Source organism: Homo sapiens, chromosome 2 (genome assembly GCF_000001405.40).
Source record: "Homo sapiens chromosome 2, GRCh38.p14 Primary Assembly".
NCBI lineage: Eukaryota > Metazoa > Chordata > Mammalia > Primates > Hominidae > Homo > Homo sapiens.
The window spans coordinates 41,536,683-41,548,744 of NC_000002.12; the positions used below are offsets into that span (position 1 = coordinate 41,536,683).

Genomic DNA, 12,062 nt, shown 5'->3' on the forward strand with positions numbered 1-12,062 from the left:
AAACACCAAGAATAAGGAAATGTTCTAGTGTTAGAACTTGAAAGATGAGATGAGACACAAAGTAGAAACCCAGGACTCAGAAATTCATAATTCTATTGTCTACTGGAGTAAGAACAATTTGAAATAAATTAAAAGTAAAGTAAAATTCATGATTTTCTGTTTTAACCAAGAATCCATTCATTTCCTTGCTTCTGGTCCCATAATATTTATAAGCATACAGTTCTCTTGGAAATTTGAGCCCTGGGTGGGATCAGTTCAGAGGGGCATAATATCTGTCTGCTTCATCACTCTTTCAGCAGAAACAATGTTTACTTTCTGCTTTTTTTCCTAGAAAGAGAAAAATAAACCCTTCATAAGAATTCTCTTTAGTTTTTTATGTAAGATGTTTGCTGAACACAGCATAAATTCTGTTTTCTTTCTTTCTTTTTTTTTTTTTTTGAGATGGAGTGTCACTTTGTCGCCCAGGCTGGAGTGCAGTGGCACGATCTCAGCTCACAATCTCCACCTCCCAGGTTGAAGCAATTCTCCTGCCTCAGCCTCCCCAGTCTCTGGGACTACAGGCACGTGCCACCTTGCTCTGGCTAATTGTTGCATTTTTAGTAGAGATGGGGTTTCACCATGTTGGCCAGGCTGGTGTCAAACTCCTGACCTCAGGCAATCCACCCGCCTTGGCCTCCCAAAACTCTGGGATTACAGGCATGAGCCACCACACCTGGCCTATTCTGTTTTTCAAGGAGAACCCCATCCAGAAATGTTAGGAAATAAATATGCATAAATGCTTTTCCACAATGAGAGCCACAGAACAAACCTGAAAATCAAATAGTTCTATGGATCTCTACATTTGAGTCTTTGCAGTGTAAAAGCTCTAAATAAAACAAATAACTTTTTCACATCAAATCTGTATTCATCAGCCACATGCAATTAATAGTATTATTTGACATTCTCCTGCTGTAGCTCCATCTTATGAGAAGGGCATTCATTTATCAGCTGCTTTATCAGAATAAGAGAGAGGAAAGAACCAAAGTAGAGAAATGTTTACTTACCCTCACATACCATGGCTTTTGACTCTCCGAATCAAAACCATCATCCAAATAACCATACTAAAGAGTCCACTTGAAGGAAAAAAAAAAAAAGAAACAAAAAGAAAGAGGCTTTGAGAATAAACAGTAAGTTTGTATTAAATATTTACTTTATAAAATTAGCATAAACATGAAATTGCAAAATACTATGATACTTTTGAGATAAAAGAAGATCAATTACAGATAGTAAAGATAGAATACCTGGCCTTTTACATTTTTTTCCTAATACATCAAATTAATGCATCTTTCAAATCAAATTATGTCTGTGAGTTCCACTGTTTAACTGTTGTTCTGAAAATATAAATCCTACTGGAATGAAATAAAAGTAGGTTGGAAAATTTCAATTTCTCAAATGGTGAAAAAGAAAATAGCAGTGGAATGTAAATGAAAATTAAGAACCCACAACTCTTAATGCAGGATAACATTTAAAATTTAACTAATCCCCAAATAGCTTTCAGAGTCATCTGACCTAAATATATTAGAACGACAGCACCTGATCTTACATTAAAATGCATTACCAAAATCCTGATATTTTGAAAAGAAAAAAAGAGATTGATATTTATCCCTTACAGTTCACACAAAGTTCATAATAATCATGGTGGTATGTGAAACATCCCTAAAGAATTAATTGTCCTTTATATTGTAGTTTGGATTTCAATGATCTTGACATGAGCATAAATCAGTCACGAGCAAATGTTATGTGCTATCAAATGCTCATTTCAGATTCTTCATCTATTTTAAGAAGTCAGTTTTTTAAAATCGCAATCTCATTTTTGTTAAATTAAACCCTCTGAAAAGGAATGGCAAGTCTCTATACATACCATTTTCTTTATGCTCTATGAAGGCTACAGAATAAAGTTAATTCTATTTCTACAGTCAGCAAATATCAAATGAGATTTTCTGTTGTTCTTTTCTTATAATGAATTTTAATCTTTCCTGCTTCTGTTAGAATCATGAAAGAATATGAATACCTCTTTTATGTCATTTCTGTAAAACCAAAAGTAAAGAGGCAGGCTAAGAAGGCTGAGAACCCAGGAGGTCTATGGCATTGGTGTTCCACTGTGGTCACAGCAGTTGTCTGCCTACTCCCTTCACTGCCACCCCTAAAGGCTAAGTGACAGCAACCTTGTGAATGAGGGTCTCTTTCATTTCCTTTACCCCTTTTCAGAATAAATCAAATTCTAGCAACTTATGCCCAGGATAGTTATTTTGGCTGAAATAGTCTACAGCTTACTGAGGACATGCTTTTTTTTTTTTTCTGAGACAGAGTCTCACTCCATCACCCAGGCTGGAGTGCAGTGGTGTGATCTCGGCTCATTGCAACATCTGCCTCCTGGGTTCAAGCAATTGTCTTGTCTCAGCCTCCCAAGTAGCTGGGGTTACACGTGCATGCCACCACACCCAACTAATTTTTGTGTTTTTAGTAGAGACGAGGTTTCACCTTATTGGTCAGGCTGGTCTCTAACTCCTGAACTCAAGTGATCCACCCACTTTGGCCTCCCAAAGTGCTGGGATTACAGGCGTGAGCCATCACACCTGGCTGACATGCTTTTTTTTTTTAATTAACGCAGTTCTGATTCATAAAATTGATTTAGAGCTCTTCTTTGAAAAGATGTTGTTGACACACAGTTGAAGATTTAAACATTTATCACCATAATCAAGTCCTAATTATTTTAAGAAACAACTGCAAGTCTTAACAGTAATAAAATTTTTATTTGGGGTTCCTAATTCAAGTTCATTTGCCCAGAATTTTCTGGAGGCCTGGTCTACACCACCGTGATATGGATACCGAAAGTAGTATCTAAACTACTTGGAAATTAGGCATAGCCATACACATGTAAAATCTTATTTTGCAGCATTGGTCAGTGTTCCTATACACTGAAAGAGAAAGTAAACTTGAAGTCTTCCTGTGTATATAATTGGAATGTTGCTTTTATTCCTAAATCATTAGTAACTGAGGAAACACAATGTATTACATATGTACAAATATAATCATGATCAGCTCAAACATCATTTCTGACTGTTTCACATTTCTATTTTATTTCCAAAACTCATGTATTTGAATATCTATTGTGTACCTGACTGTGGGCCAGGCACTTTCGGAGGCAAGAGATGCAATAGTAAACACGATAGATGGGTGCCCTACTATCACAGAGCTTACAGTCTGGAGTGGAGACACTGATAATAAGAAAGTAAAAGCAAAAATAATTTCATTTTAGAAAGTGATCAGTGCTGTGAACAAAATAAAACACAGGGACATACTGGAGAATGAAGGGGTAAGAGCAGGCTAGCGGGTAGATGAAGGCATCAAAAACAGCTCTCAAAGGAGATGGCATTGAACCGAGATTGAATAACGGGAAGTGGGCAATCATGGATTCAAAGTGTTCTAGGCAGCAAGAACAGGAAGATGGAATACATTTGGCACATTTAAGGAAGAGAAAGAAGCTTAGAGTGACTGGATATGGTGAGGGAGGGAGAGAATGGTAAGGAATGACATAAGAAACACAGCAAGGACAGAGTAGCTAGAGTCATGTAAGCCATTGTAAGGATTAGGATTTTATTCTAAGCATAAAGAGAAGCCACTGAAGAAATGTAATCAAGGGGATTACATGATCTGATTTTGTTTTTAAAATTCCATGTTGACTTCTGGAACCAGAGTGGTGATTCACACCAGGATGTCTGCTCTGGTGAGCTGAGTGCTAAAGGGAACTGGAAGTTCCCTGGACTGAGGTGACCTAGGACTACCTCTGCCAAGTAGACTGTGTGAGGGTCCCTCAGTCATTATGGGTGAGGTTGGCCGTAGCCTGCTTTCCAGGCTGGGGAGAGGTTTCACCTCCACTCTTCCTGTCACCTCCAGCCATGTCATTTCATGAAATAAAGTACCAACAATTGAAGGAAATCCACCAATTGGAAAGGCTGTAGCTGGACTGTAACAGAAGCTCAACTTTAACAGGCATCTATAAAATGCTGAAGAAACCCAGTGTGTACAGAGCAGAAGGATAATAAATCCTGGTTTGTAGCATTCAGCAACCAAACTAAGTAGCGAGTCTATTTATACTGAATGTAAATGTAAAACATAATGGAGTGTTGCCTAGCAAAGGGGAAAAATGCTTTGTCCCACACAGTATTTCTGACTGCTGCTTGGTTAGAACATAAAAATGATTGCTATTTCCTAATGAGTATTGTTTAAAAGGCACATTTTTATGGGCTTTAGTCCTGTAAATAATATTTGTAATGATCACGAATTCTCAACAAGCTGAGGCGGGAAAGGAAAACAAATCTCTAATGAAATAAGTCTATAGAGGCCAATGTTGAGAAGGGGAAAAGAAAAACAGTAATAATTATATGTAGCAGGCTCTTACCATAGCTGTATCATTTCACCCATATAAAAGCCTACCAGTGAAGGGCACTGTTATTTTAATAAAGATGAAGAAACTGAGGCCCAAAGACATTAGGAGCTTGCCCATTATCATGAAACAAGTCGGCATCAGAGCTGTCTCTATAGTCACAGCTAAACCTGAGTACAGACTCTGAGTTTTTTCCATTGCACCAAGCAAGGTCAAAGCCAACAATAAAGTAACTGGATATTACATTCAGAAGGAATGAAGCCAATGATCTCTGAGAAAGCTACGTACAAAATAACCTATGTGTCCTTCCCAGTGACCTTCCATTTCCAACACTGCTGACCCTTGCTGCTACCAAGGTCTCAAGACAGGACTGCTGTAAAGGAGGCAATTTGTGTATTTGTCCCTCAACCTTCTTATTGGACCTTTTCTCTACCCAGCAATGCCTTCATGTTTCCTTTATTCTCATGTTCTTTTTGATCCCCACGATTATCAGCCGCTGCTCCCAAATTCTTCAGTCACTTTAGAGTGAAAATGATTTATGTCAAGCAGACAAATCTAAAAGAGATATTCACGTTATGAGGATAAGATAGTTAAGTTGTTAAAATTAATCACTGTATTTTTTTTTTTTTTTTTTTTTAGAAATCAGTCAGTAGATAGGGGAGCTTTAAGAGAACGAGGGCTTGTCTTAGTCCTCAAGTCAATCTTCACAGAAGGTACTCTAGTGTGCCTGACATAGATTCGGGTCCAATAATGGCCACATCAAAGCCTACCCACCTTATCTCCTACTTTCTTCCCTCCAGACGGACATTCCAAACATGTTTTGTCCTTTTTCATTTCTGCAATTTGCCGACTGCCATGCACCCCACCTGAAACTCACTCCTTTTCTTTATCCAAACCCTACTCACCCTTACAACAGCTCTTGTTGAGGGCCAGCATTTTTTAAGTAATCATTTTTACTAGCATTAAATGTAAGTTCCATGTTGAAACTTTTAAAATTCAGAATCATTTAAAGAAGAAAGTTTTTAACTCAAGGTGCTTCTATTACAGAGATAACAATTTTTAATAAGCTTTACCTTTTCCTTAAGCAGGTAAAGACCTAATCATTCCAACTCTCTCTCAATCTCCCCCTTCCCCCACTCCTTTGAATTCCTTCAGTTTACCTACTGTAACATTCAGTTGCCCAGACACTTATTCAATTACTCCTTTAATAAATGTTTGTTCAGTCCACCTACTCTGCATCAGCATCATGCTAGATTCCACGATGGTAAACAAGACAGATATGATTTCTACCTGCGTGAAATTTACAATTTAGTGTCTCTAATTAAGACATAACATATATAACTTCCTAATGTAATAATCCGTGCATTACAGAAGTGAGTATTTTCTCCCAAGTGAACTGAACATCCCTGGGGTCAGAAAACACATAATGCAGTATAATCAAATACTTAGCCAGTTATTACAACGCCCTGAGGATACACAAAGGCATAAAAGCAGCCTTATGTCTTCATATCAAAAACTGGCTTTATACATATTCATCTAAGAGTTTCAATTATATAGAAAAGAGCCTTATCAATGAGACATTGTTGATTTATTAACATTCTGTTCTATTCTTTTCTATTCCATACTACTTCATTTTGATTTATAATGTATAATAACATAGTCAAATTTTTGTTTCAGGATTACAGTTTATCGTCTGTCCAAGCAGAAATTAAGTCCAGTTTTTATTAGCATAGTTTCTGATCAAAATAAAACTAAAAATTATTATCTGATCAGACACAATCAAAAGATGGGAAATTACAGTGAAATAAGTAGCATATGTTAACTCAAGAATATGTAACTATAATAACTGTGACTAACTGCATGGTATCTGGCACACGGTACATGCTAAAAAATATTTGCGACCAGGCGCAGTGGCTCACGCCTGTAATCTCAGCACTTTGGGAGGCCGAGGTGGGCGGATCGCCATGAGGTCAGGAGATCGAGACCATCCTGGCTAACATGGTGAAACCCTGTCTCTACTAAAAATACAAAAAAAAAAGTAGCCGGGTGTGGTGGCAGGCACCTGTAGTCCCAGCTACCCAGGAGGCTGAGGCAAGAGAATGGCGTGAACCCAGGAGGTGGAGCTTGCAGTGAGCTGAGACTGCGCCACTGCACTCCAGCCTGGGCAACAGAGTGAGAATCCATGTCCAAAAAAAAAAAAAAAATTGCTAGATGAGTAAGTGGTATCAAGAGATCTTGGATAAGAAAAGCAGGTGTGCAATGAAGAAGCACCAGACTGTATGTCAAGTGTCCTGGTTTCTACTTCTTCAGATAACTTCCTTTTCCTTCAGAGGCCTTGGTCTCTTCACATCCAAAGAAGGGCTTAGATTATCCAGTATTCAGTGCTTTTATAGAAGATGTAAAGCAGTTACCGCAAGTAATATTTATTGTGACATGTTTTGTTAGACTTTTCCTAACAACTGAACATAGATAAATACACATTCCATATATGACTTCCAATCAAAAGCTGTTCCTTGCAGTTTTGTTCATAAATTAACACTCAGTATATATAGAAATATACCATATCCTATAAGATTATGATATACAGCCAGGCACAGTGGCTCATGTCTGTTATCCCAGCACTTTGGGAGGCCAAGGCAGGAGGATCACTTGGCCCCAGAAGTTTGAGACCTGCCTGAGCAACATAGCAAGACCCTCTCTCTATAAAAAATGTTTTAAAAATAGCCAGATATGGTGGCCCATGCCTGTAATTCCAGTTACTTGGGAGGCCAAGTGGGAGGATCACCTGATTCCAGGAAGTCAAGGCTTCAATGAGCTGTCATTACGCCACTGCATTCCAGCCCAGGCAACAGAATGCGACTGTCTCAAAAAAAAAAGTTATGATGTACAAAGTTTAGCATCTGTTGGGCAAAACTTTGATTACCTATGATCTTTTCTGTTCATCTGAAGTTATCAAGTTATCAGCTCATTGCTCATTTCATAAACTAAAAAATAAATTCCATATTTCTATCAGAAAGAACATTCCTTATGTTTTTTAGGAGACTTTTCCTTTGATGACCTTTTAGTTTTTCTTTTTCTTTTTTTTTTTTTTTGAGATGGAGTCTTCCTCAGTGACCCAGGCTGAAGTGTAGTGGCTTGGTATCTGCTCACTGCAACCTCCACCTCCTGGGTTCAAGCAATTCTCCTGCCTCAGCCTCCTGAGTAGCTGGGATTAAAGGTGTGTGCCACCACACCCGGCTACTTTTTTTTTTTTTTTTTTTAAGTAGAGGTGGGGTTTCGTCATGTTGGTCAAGCTGGTCTCAAACTCCTGATCTCGTGATCCACCCGCCTTAGCCTCCCAAAGTGCTGGGATTACAGGCATAAGCCACCGCACCCAGCCTTATATTCTCTTTCTTATATCTCCCTGGTAATTGTCACTTTAAACCACCCACAATCCTTTATTAAGTACTAGGGAAATACCAAAACTAGACATATCTTTGCCTTTTCACATTTACAGATGAGCTAATGAGCACAGAGTAATAAGAGGACCTGCCTACAGAAAAAGCAGATATCAGGCCACAGAAATCTCAAACATACATTTATTTTTATACAACAAAATCTTCTTAGTTCTGATATCAGGGTTACTTCTACCCCAGATCACCCTCCAGCCTTGACTCATCAAACCGCCTCATGTACATTAAGTTTCAAGCATATTGAACTGTGGTTTCGTAAACATCTAATGCATGTTCTTACCCACGGTGACCTTTCTGCAAAAATTCCCTTTCAGCCTGGCCTCTCTTGTTTACATTGCTCCTGCTCATTCTTCAGAACTCAACTCAGGCATCACCTTCTCTGAGAAGTGATTCTTGGTACCACCCTTACCCAACGGTGCATTTGGATCTCCTCCCACAGCCCTTGTGCAAATCTCTATAGTTGTCTCTCTTTTATGTTTCTCTCATTGAACTATAAGCTCTTCGAAGGTAAAAACCATCTCTTATTCATCTTTCTTATCTCAATAAGAAAGCACCCAGTAGGTACACAGGAAATGCTCATTGTTGAGTGAATAAATGTGTCAATAGTGAATTTAAAAAAACAAAAAAAAAAACAACCTTTCTGTATCAGAGCTGTAAAAAAGGAACTTAAGAGAACAAACCAAAGACAGGGTCTCAGAATCTTTTTTCCCTCATAGCATATTCTCCAAATAGTAGATTTACTTCAGTGAATCCATTACACTGTAGGCTTCAGGAGAGCAGAAATCCAGCCCTGCCTTTGCAATTTCTTCTGATAGGCCCACATAGAATAAAGAGCTTAAAATTGGTTTTTTGTTGGAAATTACTTCCATTTAGGTCCCCTTATGGACATTTAAAATTGCTTATATTGTAGGCTTTGAACCATGTATGTAAGACTGCTTAGAAGTTAACCTAAGGTAGGAGGATAATTTATCTAAATGCTCCCTGCAAATTTGATGCAAGTGCCTCAAGACCACACTTGCAGAAACACATAGATCTTTAAAACAGATGGATCCTCGTGGAGCTTGCATTCCATCCTCTTCATTTCATTGATGAGGCCACTGAGACACAGAGCTTAGGTGAGTTGTCCAAAACTGTGCAGCCAGTTGGTTAGAGGGCTCAAGGAGAAGTAGCCAGGGGATTAGCAGATTTCCCCAATCTACTTGTAAACAGGCCCCTTAAGATATCTCAAGCCAGGAACCCTGAAAGCCTTTTAATTTCCCTGCTTGATGTTTATGCATTGGTTTCTTAAAAATCCTCGTTTTTCCTCCCAATATTTTCCAAATTAAACATTCAGAGAAAAAGAATAATAATAATAATTTAGATAAAGATTGGGTCTTAAGTATCAATGACATTAGATGATACTTGAAGTTGATGAGTTGTCTGGCAATATTAAGTAGTAATATGTGAGAAGGGTTCACAGAGAGACTCTAGGAGCATTTGAGGAGCATTAGTAGCACTTACCATTCTTAGAGGGACTGCAGAAAACAAAACAGGGGTCCAAAGTGTCTGAAGCTTCTTTTATTACGAGAGAGTGATATCAAGGCATTACTCTTTTAGTTATTGCCTCACTGACACTAAATAACAACCCATCGCAAAACTCAGTGGAATACAACAAGCTTTTGTTTCCATGCTCATGAGTCTGTAGGTTGACTGTAAATCAGCTGGTCCAGGCTGGGAGCAGCTGAGCAATTCTGTTTCAGACTACAGATTCAGCTGGGCTTGGCTCCTTAATGCAGGTTGAGTTCACATCTGCGATATGTGTGTGTACGTGTGTGTGTGTGTGTGTGTGTGTGTAAATTCTGGAAACTAAGCTAAAGAAGGAGCAGCTACCTGGAAGAAGCTCTTCTCATCACGATGGCAAAAACCAAGCTCTACCACACACCTTTGCTCACTTTATGTCTACAAATATCCCACTGCCCAGGTCAAGTCACATGGCCCAGGCAAAAACCAGTGAAAGGGGGAATATACTCTACCCACAGAAAGATATATAAGAGAGTGAATTTTTGCTGATCAGAAGGCTATGCTATCATAACTACAAACCCGGCTTAAAATTTGAATCCCTCTAACCAATATTTGGAAAGAAGTACATTATTTAATTAAACTTTACATTAACATATTTAAATATTATCACTTGCCTTCCTATTTCATGCAAAGATATAGGGAGATAAAGGCAGATAATGGCAAAGAGGACGCCAGGAACTCAACTGACCTATTTGGTTACTAATGATCAAATACATTGGTAAACCCAAAACAGTACTCAGCCAAGTTCAAACAGTCCACACAGGTCACCTAAAATTGCATCTGGGTGAAAGTTTTGGAGGAAATACTATTTATACATGTAACAAGGGGATAGAAACAGGGATATGAGGTTTTATTCTAATATGTTTTGGTTCTAACCAGCCAATGGTAGAAAAGTCTATTTATTGCCCTCTTCTCATTTTAGTCCAGTATCTCAACTCAGCCTAGCTCTCATCATTCCCCCAGGCCTACCTGCCTCCCATTTTAGACAATGTACGTCTTTGACTGTGAGATTATGTATGGGATTATCATATTTTATTATTAAAACTAATTTCTCATAAATATAGGACTAAAATATCAGCACTATCAATGACGTTCAGATTAGGAAGTATGGAGTCGCCATATTTATTTTAAAAGTATATAATTAAATATTTCTCTAGGGTAGTCCCGATGTATATTTGATGTCCCAGCATAATTTCTAAAGAATTTTTTTATTTTTAATTTTTGTGGGTACCTAGTAGGTGTATGGTCATTATGTTAAGTGAAATAAGACAGGCATAGAAAGACAAACATTGCATGTGATCACTTATTTGTGGGATGTAAAAATCAAAACAATTGAACACCCAGAGGTAGTATAAGGAGGATTACCAGTGGCTGGGAAGCTCACCATAATTATTTATAATGGCCCCTTTCACTCTCAAAATCATCCTGATTTGGCTAATAAATTATATGGTGAACCCAATTATAAAAGATCACATAATGATCTAGAGACCATCACATTAGCTGCTTAGCCCCACCTAATCTTTGGTGAAAATCAGTTAAATTATTTCAAATAGTTCTGAAATCACTGGTAGCTGTATAATCGGGCTAATTTTCATTTATATTTGTCCAACTCTAATGCCTTTTCTCTCAATATTCTATAAACATATTTCAACTGTGTTTTGTCAGAATCCACTATAATAATACGTTACGTTTATTACAGCTGGTTTTCTGGTCAATTTTCTGAAATTCCAGAGATGTAAGTATATGCTAAAGTGAGAAGCTATAATCTCTCTAGTGGTTCAGAGAAGCAATAATCTCTCAAGTGCCTTCATTTGGCAAGAGGACAAAGCCTTCAAATTATTATTATTTTTCATAAGACAATTCCTTTCATTGTTACCCATCCTAGGGCCAGAATTGTTTTAATCCACAGATTCTTGTTGGTTTAGAAATATTTAGACATTTTGTTTCCTGTATTATAGGTTCTATATGCAAAGTCTTCCTCAATGTTTTTGGACCAACATAGTTATTGATATTTGGGCCAATGCAATATAGAACAAAATCCACCACTATCCTTATACCCCAAGACTGATCTGATTTTTTGATGTCAAGGTCAGTTCATGAACAATCAGTTACTACATCTGTGCTACCAATCAGATCAAACCAATGATATGGCTAATAATTTTTAAACAATGGATTATTCAACAAAGAGAGTATAGACTCAATGCAGAAACTATAAAAATAGGTCAGAAATATCCACAATAAGATAAATACTATTTGCAAACCATCTTCTTTTGAGACAGCTAACTGCCCAGTGAAAACATTTTTTTATTTTCTTGTTGGCCTTTCAACAGTGGGGGTTGCTTCTATCCTCTTTCTGTTGAAACTTCCAGAATTCTTATTTCATTTCCAACCCATTCTTTATTAGTAACCACACTTTAATTTTAGATGCTAAATTCCATCTGGTGCTCTTAACCCTGGTTTGTCTGACTGCTTGATGTGCTTGCACATCAGAACACCATTCAGAACCCTGAAAAATCATCAGGTGTCATTGTATCATATGAGAAATGATGGCTAGGTCTAGGAAATGGATAACAAAGGATCTTGTCACTTAAACAAGTAAACAATCTGTCTGTTTGATCAAAGGA

General features: G+C 37.8%; 1 long non-coding RNA gene across 1 annotated transcript in view; it reads right to left on the minus strand.

Annotated features, from left to right (window-relative positions):
- Positions 1 to 12,062, minus strand: part of LOC105374506 (uncharacterized) — a 165,476-nt gene that overhangs the window by 124,154 nt on the left and 29,260 nt on the right. Inside the window, exon 2 of the long non-coding RNA XR_939997.3 lies at positions 1,044 to 1,112. This is a non-coding gene — a long non-coding RNA (uncharacterized LOC105374506). The remainder of the gene's footprint in view (positions 1 to 1,043; positions 1,113 to 12,062) is intronic.